This window comes from Homo sapiens, chromosome 11 (assembly GCF_000001405.40).
Source record: "Homo sapiens chromosome 11, GRCh38.p14 Primary Assembly".
NCBI lineage: Eukaryota > Metazoa > Chordata > Mammalia > Primates > Hominidae > Homo > Homo sapiens.
The window spans coordinates 89266769-89285464 of NC_000011.10; the positions used below are offsets into that span (position 1 = coordinate 89266769).

At 35.7% G+C, this 18696-nt stretch overlaps 1 protein-coding gene across 2 annotated transcripts in view; it reads left to right on the forward strand.

Annotated features, from left to right (window-relative positions):
* The window catches only part of TYR (tyrosinase), a 117885-nt gene that overhangs the window by 88894 nt on the left and 10295 nt on the right, over positions 1-18696 (forward strand). For both annotated transcript variants that reach the window (XM_011542970.3, NM_000372.5), the window contains exon 4: positions 18005-18186. In XM_011542970.3, coding sequence (XP_011541272.1) covers positions 18005-18186 — 182 coding nt within the window. The remainder of the gene's footprint in view (positions 1-18004; positions 18187-18696) is intronic.

An 18696-nucleotide genomic window follows, 5' to 3' on the forward strand; every position in this document is an offset into this window, starting at 1 on the left:
TTTCTGAAGCAGAGGTGGAAACAAACCTTGCCTGTTCATATGCAGATTATCATGTAGGTAATTACATGAAGATTATCATGTAGATTATTACATAAAGAATAATTCCTCTGGATTCCTACCAAACCATGTCAATTACTGGGGAGGCTACAAGTGTTAGAGTTTGTGTCTGAAGGGCCTTATGCACAATAGGAATGATATCCTTTTGTCTGGGGGAAAGACTTGTCATTCAAAATAAAGGAGTTCTATATCTGTACAGATAGTAGATATATGATAAACTTTTCCACTGTAATTCTCAGAATCAAGTGAAATCTACCACAGTTGGGGAGAGCAGTAAGGCTATTAATGTCACATGAAAGTTGATGCTTAGGGCTTAGGGATATAGTACTGGGAATATTTCAGTGAGGATGTTGGAAACCAGAAAGTATTGTCTGCTATGACAAGAGTGTTGGGTATGTGAAAGTGTGCCTGTACTACATATGCTCAGTTTGAACTTATTTAACTGTTATTACCTTGAATAATGACTCTTACTTTATAGCACTTGAATACACCTTTCTCCATCAGATACACGTTCTTGGTCTTTGACTGAAGATATAAAAATCATATAAATGATTAAAGATATAAAAAGAGATAAATAGATATAAATGGTTTAAGTGGCTTTCTTCCCTGAAAATTCCTTAAGGGAAGGACTCTGCTTTCTGAAGCTTTTCATCTCCCATTTTACTACATACATTTCCTGTACTTGCCTGTAGGTAATAGCTTGTTAGTATCTATTTTCTGAATATATGTTTTGAAGAAACATAATATATTCTCCTCATTCCCAGGGGATACTTCTGAAAACCCTCTGGGATAGTTACTTATCAAATATTTATTATCAACTGTGTACAGGCACGATTCTCTTTTCTATGGACATAGCAGTGAACAGATGAAGTTTTTATTTGTAATGTAAAATGTCACGTAGTTTTCCACTCAAAGATCTTTTTCAATGTTTTTCTTTTTCCTGATTAACTTAGAAAATGGGCAAGTCATATAGGCTTACTGAGTGTATGTGTGTGTGTGTGTGTGCAGAATACACAATTGGAAGCACTTGGTGTCCTGGAAAGTGCCAAGTACAAAAGACTCAGGTTTGATTCCTACTGCTCCATTTACTAACTAAATAGAGGAAAGTTGCCTAAACCCTCACTTTTTGTTTGTTTGCCTATTTTTATATGTATTTTAATGGGAGTACTTTTGTACAAATACCTCATTAAGGCTAAGAACACTTATCATATTTAGACTGCAGGTTTCAAATGTTGATTCTGCCACTTCACACTTACTGGCTGTGTAACCTTAGGCAAGTTTTATATCCCTTTTGTCCTCCAGTTTTCTCATCTGTAAAATACAAGTATAACATAGCTCATAGGGTTGTTCTGAGGTTCAAACGAGTTCCTGTATGTGAAGTACTTTGAATAATACCTGGCATACAGTGGTATATGAGCTAACTCTCACTACTGCTACCATACTACATTTCTTGCAGTTTTGTTGGAGAAATAAATATGATATATATATATATCAAAATTCTCAGCATAGCACTGGATGCATGACTGTCATCCAATAAATTGAAATTATTACTGAAGCAATCAGTCATTTTTTATTATTCTAAGAGCCTCAGAAGCATCACTCTAGTGAAGAATAGTAGAACAATAATGTATGTTAAATGAAGAGAAATTTTGGAAGAAAGAGAGGCAGCATAGCCATCTTAAGAAAAGTAATAGCTATTTGTCATATGTAGAAGTTGTCTTAGTCACTATTGCTCCCCTGGCATACTATGATCTCCACTAAACAGAAGTATTACATTTTGATTTATTATAATTTAATATAATACACACATCCATTATAATCATAGTTCTAAAATTAAAATCCAGGAACAGTTACTTCTTATCTAAACCACTTAGATTCAATTTAACCCTTGGGATCAAGCCCAGACTCCCCACCCTGATATGCATAAGGCCTTTCACAGTGTGACCCACCTCCACCTCTCTGGGCTCACTTGTTGTTGATCCCGCACTGCTCTACATTGCATCCCACACCAGATCACTTTTATTTTTTCAATTACATCAGTGCCCAGGGTCCCTGTCAGTCTACGCATTCTATGTGATACCTTTCCCATAATTTACTCATCCAATTTAAATACCACTTTCTCGTTTCCCATCTGGTTAGCTGCTTCTGCTGTAATCCCATAGGCTTTATACACATCTTTAAGAGCATCATTTATATTACCTTAACACTTTTTGTATGTGTTTATCACAACATGGAGAGAGATCAATGAGGATAGGGACTATGCTTCTACATCACTGGAGCTTGACATGTCATGATTCTTAACATGATAGAATATTTATTGAATAAATAAATGGACAACTCAGTGAAGGGAGTAAGGTAAGTTTTGTTATCACCACTTCACAGGTAAGAGGGGTGAGGCTTTGAAGGCCCATCAGTAATTCCTACTGAAAGCCAAGTTAATAGCAGACCTCCCATTTACACCCAGCATTGTCTGGAGGTCTGTTAGGAGACATTTTCTAGATTCATCTTGACTACTGTGGCCAGTGTGGCCTGGCTCATTTTATTTGAGTGCAATTTCTGCCTAATGCAGTGTATCTCAATCCTGGATGCACATTGAATTATTCATAGCAGGGTGCCTGATACTTAATGATATTAAATGTTTTTTGGAAAAGGAGAGAAAAAAACACCGAAACTGCCTTTCTTTCTTAAACTTTTAATTATTTAGGCCTTTTTGGTTCTTATACTAAGTTTCTCCAAGTTTCATCATTAGTTTAAGTATTTTAATCTGATTTTAACTGCCTTACTGATTCCCCAAGGGTTTGTTTCCCCTTTTTTCAACTAAGTTAAGAACTTCTAGACTATATACTTAAAATTGTAGTTAATTGAGATCGGCCACAGTTGAATTTCTTAGCTATGTAACAGGATTTTCATTTGAAGCTATTTATTCCTGACAATCTCTACTCTTAAAGTGTGGAGTTCTCTTAAAGGGGCTGTTTTTCAGTGAAAATTTCCAGATACTCCTCAAATGTGTTTCAACATTAGCCAGGAATCAGGAGGAAATAGAGCTCCTGGGATGCTATTATTTCAAACCCAGGTAGATGCTCCAAGTTTTTCCCAGTGGTCTCAGTAAAAGTAGGCTGTCTATCTACTACCGTGTTGCTCCCTTTGAGCTCCCAAACTCAGCTGTTGGTCCATTGAATTATACCGTAACTAGGCACGATTATGTCACTGCATGGCTTAAAATCCTCCAATGGCTCCTCACAGCTTTTAAACTAATATTGACTAATTACCTTTCATGCAAACCCTACAGTGTCTGTGTTAAACCACATATACCTACAGATATCCACATAATATCCTTCCTTTCAATCCATCTGATCTACTTGCAGGGTCCCAGAAGCGTAATTCTTTTCCTTCATGCTTGTGCTTTACTCCTACTAGAATGCTTTTTTTCCCTCTTATTACTTTGCCTAGATCTCTGCTATTCATTTTTTAAAACTTAAGTTCAAGTGTCACCAAAGGGGCACCTTGACCGACACCACTCAACCCTCATCCAAGTGGATACTAACTCCTCTTTCTCTTTTTTCCCAAGGCATGAAGGGCCCTTCTCTGCTGGCATTCACACTGTACTGTGCTGAATTATTGACCAGATTTTAGCTCTTTGTAAGACAAGCACCTTTCCTCATTTGGCTTTCTACTTCCAGCACTCGGTGCAATGCTTATTACATGCCAGGCACTGTCCTAACTGATGGGGGTTAATGAATGGTACAATCTACCAAGATTCAACCCAAAGTCATCAACATTTCTTAGATCCTTTCTTCTCCAAGTTCTGATATCTAAACACTAAATTAGTGATTCATAAAATGTTTAAATAATTTGAATAATTTAAAAAATTTAATCTTAAATAATTTAATCTTGAACAATTTGAAAAAATTTTGGACTCTCTAGGGAAAAATATACAATTCCTATGTATTTTATATATGATTTATGAGACTTTATAAATATACTAATATGAATTCAGTCTCCTGGTTGAATTCATATTGTTTTTAACTGGCAGGCACTGTAATGGACACAGGACATATAATGACCAATAAGGCAATATCATTGCTTTCGGCGAATTTCCCATATAGGCAAAAAATTACACATGATCAAATAACTGCAATGCAATATGACAAATGTGATAATCAAAGGAGGAATATGTCAACTCTTAAAAGTTTTCACAGATGTAGCCATTGAGCTAATCTTAAAGGGGCAAAAGATGTAGGAGAATATAAAAGTTTAAAGAACCCCTATGGAAGAAAAATCCCAAAACAAAGTATTTATAATTTTAATAACAATAATAATAACATCTATACTTACTCTATGCTACACGTTACTCTAATTGATTTTACATACATTAATTCAGTTAATGCTAAAAACAATCCCTTGTAGTAAGTACTATTACCTATTGGTTTCTTAGGGCTTCCATAATACAGTGCAAGCATAACTCTAAGATATGGAAGGTTTGGCTTCGGACCACCACAATAAAACAAACATTCTAATAAAGTTAGTCACATTAATATTTTGATTTCACAGTGCATATAAAAAGTTATATTTACACTATATTGTAGTATATTTATGGTGCAGTAACATTATGCCTAAGAATAAAATGTACATACCTTATGTTAAAAATACTTTATGCTGAAAAATGCTAAGAATATTCTGAACCTTCAGCAAGTTGTGATCTTTTTTCTGGTAGGTCAGACCTCTGGTAGGTCTAGCAGGTTGATGGTTGCTGACTGATCAGGGTGATGGCTGCTGAAGTTTGGAGTGGATGCAACAATTTCTTAAAACAAGAAAAAAATAGAGTTTGCTACATTGATTGACTCTTCCTTTCAAAAAATATATTCATGTAGCATGTGATGCTGTTTGATAGCATTTTGCCTACAGTAGAACTTCTTGCAAATATGGAGTCAATCCTCTCAAACCCTACTGGTACTTTATTAGATAAGTTTATAGAATATTCTAAGTACTTTGTTGTCAGTTCAACAGTGTTGACAGCATCTTCACCAGAAATAAGTTTCATCTCAAGAAACTATTTTCTTTGCTCATCCATAAGATGCAACCCCTCATTCGTTCAAATTTTATTATGGGATTGAATAATTTGTTTCCATCTTCAGGGTCTACTTGTACTCCAGTTCTGGTGCAATTTCCCCCACATCTGCAGTAACTTTCTCCACTGAAGTCTTGAACCCCCTCAAAGTCATCCATGTGGTTTGGATTCACCTTCTTCCACACTCTATGAATGTTGATATTTTGGCCACCTCCCATGAAAATTAATGTTCTTAATTGTATCTAAATAGTTAATCCCTTCCAAAAGGTTTTCTATTCATTTTGCTCAAATTCATCAGAGGAATCACTGTATGTCGGCTATACCCTTATAGCATGTATTTCTTAAATAATAACAATTGAAAGTCAAAATTACTCCTTAATCCATGGGCTGCTGAATGGATGTTGTGTAGGCAGGAATGAAAGCAATATTCATCTCCTTGTGTATCTCCATCAGAGCTCTTGGGTGACCTTGTCAATGTGCAGTAATATTTTGAATGAAATCTTTTTTTTTTTTTGAAGGAGTGGGTCTCAACAGTGGACTTGAAATATTCAGTAAATCATGGTATAAACAGATGTGCTGTCACCTAAACATTGTTCTATTTACAGAGCACAGGCAGGGTAGATTTAGTGTTTTTGATGGCCTTTGGACTTTTGGAATGGCTTCAACTGAATAAGCACTGGCTTCAACTTAAACTAACCAGCTGCATTAGCTCCTAACAAGAGAGTTAGCCCATCCTTTGAAGCTTTAAAGCCAGGCATTGAGTTCTTTCTAGCTAAGAAAGTCCTAGATGGCATCTTCCAATAGAAGGCAATTTGTCTACCTTGAAATTTGTTTGTTTAGTGTAATGGCTTTCATCTCTTATCTTAACAAGATCTTCTGGTTAATTTTCTGCAGCTTTTCCATCAGAACTTATTGCTTCACCTGGCACTTTTATTTTATGAAGATGGGCTCTTTTCTTAAAACTCTTGAACAACTGCCAGATTCAAACTTTCCTTCTTCAACTTCCTCACTGCTCTCAGGACTCATAAAATTGAAGAGAGCTGGGGCCTTGCTCTGGATTAGGCTTTAGCTTAAGGGAAGTTTGTAGCTGGTTTGATCTTCTATCCAAACCACTAAAACTTTCTTCATATCGGCAATAAGGCTGTTTCACTTTCTTATCATTTATGTGTTCACTGGAGTAGCACTTTTAATTTCCTTCAAGAATTTTTCTGTTGCATTTACACCTTGACTGTATTTCACATAAAAGGCCTAGCTATGTTGGCTTTGGACATGCTTTCCTCATTATTATTCTTACCTCTAATATTTATCTAATATTATTCCTACCTCTAGGTAATTATTCCTACCTCTTGATTTAAAGTGACTCTTCCTTTCAATTGAACATTTATAGGCCATTGTAGGGTTATTAATTGACCTAATTTCAATATTGCTATGTGTCAGAGAATAGGGAGGCCTGAAGAGAGGGAGGAGGACTGTTGGTGATGGGGGCGTGAGGGAAGGAGGATGGCTGGCAGGTGGAGCAGTCAGAACATACACAAAACTTCACCATCTTATATGGATGTGGTTTGTGGCAACCCAAAACAATTACAAGAGTGACATCAAAAATCACTGATCACAGATCATAATAAGAGATTTAGTAATATTGAAAAAGTTTGAAATATTGTGAGAATTATCAGACTGTGAGAGAGACATGACACGAACACATGCTGTTGGAAAAATGTCACTGACAGACTTCTGCAATTGGGGCTGCCACAAACCTTCAATTCGTAAACAATGTAATATCCACATAAAGCAATAAATTGAATTGCAATAAAATGTGGTATACCTGTTCCACAGACTGGGTAGCTTAAACAACATAATTTTTTTTTCTCACAATTCTGGAAAATTAAAGTCTGAGATCAAAGTGTCACCAGGGTTGGTTTCTTTTAAGGCTTCTTCCCTTGACTTGTAAATGGCCATCTTTTTCCTATGTCTTCACATAGTCTCCTCTCCATCCCTGCCCATGCTCAAATTTCCTCTTCTTCTAAGGACTTCCTTCATATTGGATTCTGGCCTACTAATGTCTTCATTTCAACTTAATTATCTCTTTAAAGATCTTATCTCCAAATAAAGTAACATTCTGAAGTATTAAGAGTTAGGACTTAAAAATTTGAATTTTACAGAGACACAGTTTAGCTCATAATATGTTATAATCCCCACTTCACTGAAAAGAAGAGTGGAGCACATGAAGTTAAGTAGCTTGCCCCAGTTTGCAGAATTGTTAAGTATCACAATCATCTAGCTCCAGAATCTGTGAGGCTAACCTTTAGATTGTATGATTCTCTTTTTATATTTTAAAATAAGAAATAAAATTCATAGACCTATTGAATTAATTTTAGGACAACTCTTTTATTTGTGGTACACCATAATTCACAAATAGCAAAAATTTGCCTATGTCTATACCATAGGCATACCAATTTCTTGAAAGAAAAGCAGGGTCTAGTCTGGTTAGTACTTGGATGAGAGACCAAATAGCAAATACTTAAAATGTCTTTTCTAAGGAAATTAAATTGGCTCCTATATTAAGCTGTAGAACTAATGGCTTCTGCTCTGTGCAAGTATAATGGCCACAACTAACCTCACTGCATGTTAAGTACTGCCCTTAGAGTACCTGATCTCATTTATGTCTTACAGCTCTTTAAAGTTTGTTATTATCCACATTTTACAGATGAATAAACTGAGACTTCCAGAGATTATCTTCTCTCTCCTCACAAAAATCAATAACAGGAATTTGAAACAAGTTTTCTTATGAGGAGGTTTTGTATTTCTGACTTCTCTTCTTGCTGCCACATCCCAAGGCCAAAGTTAGGATGCCTTGTATAAGCCTTTGTGCTTGTGGAAATTGGACTTTCCCCTCTTTTGTGTTCATCTGGCAGGTTCTTCCTACGTTCATAACAAGATATATTGTACGGCTTTCCCCAATTCCCCTCACTTTCACTGCCTGTTGTCAATGTGAGCTGTTTAGGTCCCTTTCAGCACTCTTAAAGTCACCTCCCAAGTACTCTGTGGCCCTCCTCAGGAGGGTATTCTAAGTTAGTCATCATAGATACATCTAAGTCCAGATCCAGAATCTCATGTTCATGGCATCCTCTTTGACCTACTTAGCTGTTGCCGCCTCATACCCTACTAAGCCAGTGATGGTCTTTGGCTCCTCATAGCCTGTGAATAAAAAAGGGTTTAAATTCTACAGGGATAAATCATATGTCTTTAGACTACTGTTATTAGTGTTTCACAACTGTGCCGTCACCCTTTCTTACATACTCTGAGAGATTTTGTAATCAAATTCTGTCACGTAAGGTGAAATCAGAAGATGCCTAGTTCTCACTTCTGTGTATAGCTTTGAAAGGCCTGCTAATGCTTGGAACAAAACATGAAAGCCTTGTCCACCTTTCTGTTTTAATTCCTAATTACTAATTTCTTGCATGTTAGTGGAAAAGCATTAAACTTGGAACAGAGCACCTTGATTCTGGTCCTAGCTCTGCCACCTGGGTGTTATAATAAAAGTCACAGGAATCTAAAATGGAACCCCAGATCTTCTACTGCTTTCTAGTTGAGTTACTATTGGCAAATTCTTAAATTCTTTGACTCAATTTTTTCTTCTGTAAAATGGAATCAATAAAATATTAAGCAAGATATTGTTCAAAGGAAAACTTTAGCCAAATTAAATTTAAAAGAGTTTAATTGAGCAAAGAACAATTTATGAACCAGGTAGCTTCCTCAGCTAGAGTAGGCTCAGATTCTCTAGCACAGCCACATGGTGGAAGAAGATTAATGTACAGAAAAAGAAAAATAACGTTAAAAAAATGGAAGTGAGGTACAGAAACAGTCAGATTGGTTATAGCTTGGTGTTTGACTTATTTGAACATGGTTTGAACAGCTGGCCACCTTTGATTAGACAAAACTCGGTGATTGGCACAAGAATAGACTATAGTCTGTTTACAACTCCATTTAGGTTATAGTTCACAATGTACAGAGAAACCTTCAGGCTGAACTTAAAATATGTAGGAGACAACTTTCAGCTAAAGTTGATTTAACAATATATTAAGAGTTTATTTTATAGACATTGCTTTATTGCTAACTTTGTCATCTGGGTTAGATTATAAACTCAAGATTATTGGGTAGATAGTTGGCACCTAATCTGTGTGCAAGGCACTGAGAAACAAAAGATAAAAAGCTGTTGTTCTTCAGCTGGTTGGCAGCATTGATATTCCTCCAATGTACTTGTGCCTGCTTTGAAAACAACAATGCCTCTGCCTCTATTTGGATTTGTTCCCTCACAGTGAAAGAAAAAAGAGTGATTGTGATCCTGAATTTCTGAAATAAGGAGCATGTTTAACTGACAATCTAGCATCTGTTTTCTGTACCTTTCCCACCCAGTTGACAAATTCTCCTCCATCTGCATCGCTTAAAACTTAGTCAGAAAGTAACAGAAACCTCCTCATGGAGAGAAAGGAAGGAAAGAACAGAAACCTAGATAGGGAACACTAAAGTGTCAGAGAAAGAAGCAGAAGAACTGGGTTCTCATCTTAACTCAGTCCCTTACCAACTTTGTTCACTACTTTCTCTCTCTCTGCCTTTTTTTTTAAAGTATGATTTCACATTATCTCCTTCGTTGTATTTCTTATGCTAATACATATCCTTTCCTGATCTTGTAATGTATTCATTGCTGCTTCTTGAGTATAAAGTGTGTGAGTCCTGAGTCCTCTGAGAAAAGGAACACTTAAGGTGTTTAATGCTAATTAATGCAGGTGTCTGTTGGATAAACAGCTTACATTTCAAGATGAAGGTCAAGCAGAGCGTCTTCCAAGAGAGAAAATCTACACATCAGACTTTGGTAGAAGCATATGCATACTTGCAACTGCAGAAACACCCCTGTCATCCTGTGTAAACACACAGAGAACAGGGTACTTACTATTATTAGTAACAGAGTGGTAGCCAAGACCCCTTGATTCCAATGTTGGTTGTACCGTTAACTGTGACCTTTGGATTCAAATTTTATTTTGCCTCTGTAAAATGAGGGGTTTGGAAGGGAAGAAAACAAATTACTGCTTTTTCAGAACTAAGCCAATCATTTATATTGTCTCATTTTATCCTTAACTATTGTTACTTGACATTTCACTTCCTTATTTTATTTTTGTTCTCATAAATACATTAAAATAGATAGTACCATCCCTTTTCTATAAATGAGCACACTGAGGCTTAGAGAGTTTTATTGGATTAAGTTTAAATGGAAATGTTTATTATCATTTAAAAATTACAAGTTTGTTTTAACAAGTAACTGCTTCAAAACAAGTACTACATGAAAAAAATAAATAATAATAAAAGAAAAAAAATTTAGGAATGCACTGGCCTTGCTATTATACAACTGCAATTCAATAAATTTTGAGTGACTAGAAATTCGTGTGGCTGGAGGCATCGCAAGCTGCAGTTCTCAAAGAGAGTGTGATTGTCACGTCATCTGTCCTGGCCTTTCAGAAAGATGATATCCAAGAAAAATAACTCCAGATTCTCTTGTATTTTCATTATCTCATTATTCCCATGGCTTCAGTTATCAGCTAGAGGTTGGTGAGCTGACTTCTCAATTTGTGTTTCCAAAGTTAATCTTACTCTGAAATCCAGACCCAGATATCTAGCGAATGACCTGACATCCCCACTGAAATGTCTCAAAAACATCTTACAGCACATCTCATCTAGAATCATGACATCAGCATCCTCCCCTAATATTCCACTTCTTCAGGGGTTTCTGCATCTGGTAATACAAACACTTTGCTCAGTAGCATAAGCCAGAAAAGTAGGCATTTTCTGTGGTACCTGGCCCCTCAGTTGTACTGCTTGGATTTCCAGACATCATCTATTTTCCTGGACATCATTTTCTCACTGATTTCTTTATCCCCCTGATGCGTGCATATCCACCAACTCCTACTCTTCCTCAGTCCCTTCTCTGCAACGAAATCTGTGTGGTCTTTTACAAATGATAATCTGTTCGTGTTATCATTCACCTTCCCAGATACAAACAGTGACTTTCTGTTAGGAAAAAAACACAAATCTCCCTAACATGGCCTCTGCTACCCTTCATGATTTGGCCTCAGTTCACCTTCCTAGCCTCATCTGGAGCTATTTGCTCCTTGATCCCTATAGACATATTGGTCAATTTTTAATTCCTTGAATTTGTCGCATACTTCCAATCAAAGATTCTTTCCAAATTCCATTCTGTCCTTCAGAAATATTCTTCTACCATTTCTCTAAACAGTCATTCTTCAACTCTTGAAGAATGCACCATCAAAGACTTTTCCTCAGGCCACAGACCAGATGAGGCTTCCCCATTAAATCCTGTTACCATGTTACATTCTTCCATATTTGCCAGTCCATAACTATAGGTTGATTTCTGAAATTGCTAGTTACTGTCTATCTCCACCACTAGACTCCAAATACTATAGGGCAGAAAACTTCACCAATGCTGGGCCCAGAGCCAGTTTATTATAGATATTTAGAATATATTCATTCATTTTTTAAATATATGAATGAATAAATAAATAAAAAGGTCTTCTATTACATATGTGTATGTAAGTTTTTTTTGTGTGTGCTCATGGTGGTGGTAGATGTGTTACAACGAATCAGTTCCCAAATATCCAACTATCTTAAGGCTTCCTTGTTTGTTCTTTTTTTAAGTAAATATTTTATAATTATTTTATTTGTAAAAATGTTGTGAAGATAGAACGGAGAGTTCCTACATTTTCCATACCCAATTCCTCTATTATTAACATCTTCCCTTGGTATGGGACATTAGTGGACATTAAAGAACCATGTTGATATAATTATTATCAACCACAGTCAATACTTTAGATTACTTAGTACCTAATATCTTCTTCTGCTCCAGGATCCCACCCAGGATACTATATTACATTTAATCATTCTGTCTCCTTAGGTTCCTCTTGCCTGTGATAGTTTTTCAGACTTTCTTTGTTTTTTTGATGACCTTCACAACTTCGAGGAGTACTGCTCAGGTATTTTGTAAAATGTCCCACAGTTGATATTTGTCTGATTTTTTTCTCATGATTAAACTGGGATATGTGTTTTGGGATGGACAACCCTAGAGGTAAAGCACCATTCTCTTCACATCATATCAAAGGTGTAGAGGGACTCAAAAATGTACCCCAAAGTATGGTGCCTTGTGATGCTGAGTATTTTGAAGTAAAGGAGATTGGAAGGCCTCAGAAGCAAAGTCTCTGGCCCCTCTTTCTCCTGTGAAATAAACCATAGAAACTAGACTCCCTCTTCCCCAAGATCATAAAAACTAGAACCTTTCTTTTCCAAAACAAGCCATAAACCCTAAAAATATTACTATCATCTTCTCCCACCTTTCTTTGTAGCAGCTGGCCATAAAGAAATACTCTGACCTACATTATTTGATAGTAGGTCATAAAACCTTCATTGCTAAGGCCCTGCCCTATACGTAGGAGGAGGGACTGCTGCACAGAGAGGTCAAGAAGAATACAAACAGACAGGGCTTACTGGGTTGTTTCTCTCAGTCTATTACATTAGATCATACTCTTTTGTCCAAATTTCTGCAACACTGGCCATAAGCATAAAATCTAAGCATAAAATAAACAATTTTCCCTGGGTCTTTGGCTCTTCTTTTCTGAAGTCTCCCATGTCATATAAAACTTTGATTAAATTATTATGCTTTTCTTTGTTAATCTGTCTTTTGTTATAGGAGTGTTGGCCATGACCCTTATGATGGGTAGAGAGCAATTATCACACCTCTATCACCCAAAAAGGGCTATGCTATTAACATAACTTACCATTGTGAATGTTAACCTTGATCACCTGGCAGAGGTAGTGTTGGTCAAGTTTCTCAAACTGTTAAATGATTTCACCATGTTTTTATACTGCACTCTTTGAAAAGAAGTCACTGTGTGCATCTCATACTTAGTGAGTGGGGAGTTATATATAGTACCTTCAAGACAGAGTATCTACATAATTATTTGAATTCTTTTACATGATAGATTCATATATTTCTCTCCATTTATTAATTTGTATATTTATAGATTATATCTGTACAGACTCCTCTATATTTATTTTATACAACTTTATTTTGTGGCTCAAACTCTTCCAGCTTTAGCCTTTAGGAGTGATTTCAGTTGACTACTCTGTTCCTTTGAAATATCTCTAACATTGTGGGTGGTTGTCGTTTCTTTGAACATATCCTTAGTTTATGGCACTAAAAGATGCTCAACATTCATCTTGTATATTTCTTACCCCAGCCCTAGAACCTGCCGTTTCTTCGAGGAACCCCAGTTCCCTTTACTGGAGAATATTTCTTCTGTTCTGCCTACTTTTTCTTCTTCTGGCATTCCAATTATGCATATGTTACATTTTTTGGAAATTATCCCATAATTCTTAATTATTTTTTATTCTTTCTCTTTACATTTCAGTTTGGGAAGTTTCTCCTAACCTAGCCTCAAGCTCACTGATTCTTTTCTTGGCCATATCAATGTTAGTGATATATACAACACTGTTGGAGTGTTTTTGATTTCTAGGCTTTCTTTCAATTTTTTCTTAGGGTTTCCGTCTTTCTGCTTACATTATTCATGATTTTCTGCATATTATTTACTTTTTCTATTAGAAATGTTATTCTATTAATTTTATATTATGTATAGTTTTTTAAAATTGATATTATTCACAATTATTTCAGATTCTATGTCTCATAGTTCCAAAATTTATATCATATCTAATATGATATAAATGATTCTAATGATTGCTTTATCTCTTCAGATTTTTTTTCTTCTCTGTTGCCATGACTTGTAATTTTTTATTAAAAGCCATATGTTTTATTAGGTAAGATAAACTGAGGTAAATGGGCTTTTAGTGTACAAATTTATGTTACTTTGGCAAGGAGTTGCACAATGTTTAAATGTTTGTCCTAGTTGTTACAGTTTTGAGATGAGAGGCCTCAAGTTTCTCTAGTGTATTTGTTTTTGTCTCTATTCTTGGTTTTGGGTTTCCCTACATACTCTTCCTCAGAGATAGTTCATGTATTTCAGCTCTTTTAGCTGTAATCCACTGTTGTTATACTGGAGATTTGTTGGATGCTGGTAAAGTATGAGAGAGGGGAGTGTTCAAAATATTCTAATTAAATCTTAGTCCTTTAGTAGGCCAGTGCATTGGGGCTTCACAATACAGCTTTTTCTTCTTTTGCCTCTGCCCCTCTATTTGCTTCCCTGGTTGCAGTATTTCTATTTATTTCCTTGAAACTCTGACCCCTGTGGCTTATATTTACTTCCCCTTAGGTGAGACAGGAAGACTGAAAGAGGCTGGACTGAAAGGAATTCTCTTCCTGAAACTGGGATAAGGCTCTAACAATTTCCCCTGGATCATAGGGCTTTGATATGGAGAATGTCCTGGGCATATTTCACAACGGTCACTCTCCTCCTCCCTGTAACAGAGTAAGGAGAGTATCTTTCTGAGGTCTTCACCATAAAAACCTGGTGGAGTTCCTGGAGGTAAAGCCCCAAACATGTGGAAGTTCCCCTAAGACAGCAGCACCCAGGAATTTCCCACTATCTTCACTAGTCTAGACTCAGTCTCCAGCCATTCATCGAAGTGTTTCAGTGTTCCTACCACTTTAGGAATCCAGCTGCTCCTGCCCCTGGTAAGCAGATCTCAGCTATGTACCTCTGGATGAACCCATCTCTCCACTTTTGAGGATGGCAGTTTGCCCCGCAACTTCAATTCTCTCATGGGTCCAAGAAAATTTGTTGATTATTAATTTGTCTATTTTGTTCTTATTTTAAGGATAAGGGTGACCAGAGTCTTTACATGTCTGACCTGAAATCAGAGGTCCCATGCCAGCTTTTATTTATAAAACACATCTTTCCATATTTCCATCTGTGTTCATCTTTACATTTTTCTAATTTTTCTGTTGTGAATTTCACTGTCACTCAGATTTTCAGAAAAACTATCTAGATTCAGTTCAAATTAAGTTTTGCTAAAAAGATGACTACCCCCTCCTCCCCAAATGTCAATGTAATTATCTGAGTTAAACATTAATATTCCCATGTGAGCTATTCTAGTCATGGTTTGGTGAAATTAACTGAAGTTGAGAATCACTGGTGAAGAACTTAATCAAGATTAATACCTTCATTTGAAAAGGTTGATGAGGTGGGTGAGCACATTAATGGTTTCATCCATTAAATCTTTTGGTGCTGAGAATTGATGTCCTTGTCCTACTTAGGTAAAGAATTTTTATTTCATGGCAGAAACAAGATTATTTATAAATTGAACTATAGAAGTAATTTTTCTCGATTGACAAAAGGTACAATTTTTGCCTCCAGCCCTTATTTAGTGGCTCACTGTATATCAGGCTGTTCCCAAATCAGTCAAAATTTGACAGGGGTGGTGGAGGGATTATCAGACAGCCTCCTTCTCATTTTAAAAATTTAATTTACCAATTGAAAACACATGGTTAGTACGAATAAAATGTCTACTAAAAATTATCTATAATGTGATTTCCTTTTTTGGTAAAATACAGGTAGAGTGTTGTGGATGCATATTTTAAAAACTAGATATAACAAAAGCATAGAGCAATTACAGGTGATTTTTTCTTTTCTCCTTTTTCTTTGTATTTTCTCTATTTTACATAACAAACAAGTACTGCTTTTGTAGAGAAGAAAACCATAAAAGTTAAAACAAAAGGACTAGTTTATAAAATCATAGGACTTTAATAAAATTTGGGGTTTATTGTCAAGCCAGTTTCTAATTTCTTCTGTTGAGGAAACTGAAGCACAGAAAAACTCATCTTCTTAAATCTTCTAATTTCTCATTTTTGCCTATCAGAATACTAACCATCACTAAAGGCACTGCTCACATATGCAAGGCTTTGGCATTTCTAAAACAGCATATGTTATGTCTCATCAATTTTAAAGTTTTTCCAGTATAGTCATAATACTTAGGAGGGGGAAGAAGAGAAGAGAGGAGCTGTGAGAAAGATAATAGCTTTTATGTACCACTTAACTGTGTATTTTGTGTTATTTTAATTAATCCTTACATTACCTTCATGACATAAATATAATTCCCATTTTGTAGAATAAAGAAGATCAAACAGATACAATTTTACAAATCTTCCCTGTCTCAACCTATAGAACTCAGATTTTTACACAGTTCTTTGTGTAACTTGACCTACAGTAGATACTCAGTAAATATTCGTTTAATAATTGAACTAATTTAGAAAGCATTTGGTATGCATGGACCAGATTTTTAGTGTTTATCAGTGGACTGCCAATTCCTCACTAAATTCACAACTGAAAACCAACTTTGACCACAAGTAGTGTGTTCAAGTTCAGATCCTCTAATAAACAGAATTGTTTTCTGTCATGGAAAAAATGATCACCATTTCTTCCATTTGGCTTCCTTGTTCTCTTCATTATTGTGCTTCAAAATGTTGAAAATGGTTTTCTAAAATTGTATTCATTTTGTTTGAAGCATTATCACTTCTTTTTCAATACCACCTTTTCTACCATGTACCAACCTTTGACCTGCTAGCTTAAAATGTACAGCTAAGTAACGATAGCTTATTATTTAGTACTTTCACAAAAACTATCATATTGGAAACAGGTAGGACAGATATTATTACTCTTATTTAAGGATGAGGAGGCTAATTCTCCAAGTTCAGTGATTTTCTTAGAGTTATACAGCCAGATGAAAACACAGAGCTAGGCCTCAAGAAGAGTTCCCCAACTCCAGCTCTTGTGTTCTTTCTTCTATGTCATATGACTCGATAATGCAAAGCCATTCTCTTTGTCATATTGTTAATGGCTCTCTATAAATTACTCTACAACTTGAGTTTCTACTCCATTCTTACTGGACTTTTTTCAATCCTTTAATTTTTTAGTTTTTTTCCAGTCAAAGTTTTTAGTTGCATGAAATAGAAACTAACTCTGCCTGATTTAAGTAGGAAAAGAATTTGCTGAGAGGCTACTGAGTAGCTCACAAAATCATGGAGCAGCAGGTTCAGAAATAGGTGAGAATAAGCAAGAAGGGCATCAGCTAAGACGGCTGCCAAAACCATGCTATAGAACACAGGGCACTTGCTGGGCAATGGATTTCTTTGCTGGTACATCTGGCTTTGCTGCCCCTGAAAACTAAATATTGTTATATCAACTGCCACTGCCCATTTCTAGGATGGTTTCTGATTGTCCCTGCTTATTTGTGTCACTATCTCCTGTTTCGAAGTCATGAATGAGTATGTCAGATTGGCAGAATATTTATCATATGGTCATACTCTAACTTTAGAAAAAGCCGAGAAACAAAGTTTAGGTATCTAAACCATTGTCATTGGAGGTAAGCTCTGTCTCCCATCAAGACTCATTAAGCCCACACTTCACCTATCACAACATGAATGTTTAAATCATTGAAAGCCTCCCACCAGAACCAAAAAAATGACCAAATTCTAGCACTGTTTCCAATTTAGTTTTATACGTTCTTTCTCTGGTCTTTCTTTGGGAATATATTTAATTTACAACTATGACTCAATTGTCACTCAACCAATAGTTACCTTTATTTTGCAGCATTCTGGAGGTTCAAAACTCAATGTGTAAGTTTTATTCACCTGCTAAGAAATTATTTTTTCAAAGCTAGCCTCAATATTTATTTTAAATGAGTGAACTTCAAGGCCTGAAAGAATAAACTAATACTTTACGAAATATTTTTGAAGTATAAAGAATATATTCAACATCTTTCCATGTCTCCAGATTTTAATATATGCCTTATTTTACTTTAAAAATTTTCAAATGTTTCTTTTATACACAATATGTTTCTTAGTCTGAATAACCTTTTCCTCTGCAGTATTTTTGAGCAGTGGCTCCGAAGGCACCGTCCTCTTCAAGAAGTTTATCCAGAAGCCAATGCACCCATTGGACATAACCGGGAATCCTACATGGTTCCTTTTATACCACTGTACAGAAATGGTGATTTCTTTATTTCATCCAAAGATCTGGGCTATGACTATAGCTATCTACAAGATTCAGGTAAAGTTTACTTTCTTTCAGAGGAATTGCTGAATCTAGTGTTACCAATTTATTTTGAGATAACACAAAACTTTATGCTTCGACAATGTTATTCCTGAACACTTTAAATCCTGAAAGTGCATTATAATCCTTAATTTATTACCAGTTTATTATCACAGGAATCAAATTCTGAGGATCTTTAAAGTCATGGTCATTTTGCTTAACATAGGCCATTTTGTACATGGCAACCATGTGAAGAGCAGTAGAATCAGAAGAAGAAAAAAAAAGGTTTTGAGACATGACTCTATCAACTGACTGTAAGGTGACCTGGGAAATTCACTCTACATCCCTGAATCTCAGTTTATTCACCTGAAATACTGGGACCAGAACACATTAAAGAATTATTTAGAATGATACATTAATGAGCCTAGTACAGTGTAACACAGGGTAAACATCCAGCAGTTTTGGAATCATTTTTGGAAGTTTCTTGCTAGGGTTACCAAGAAAATTTGTAGAAATCTTGAACTTAAG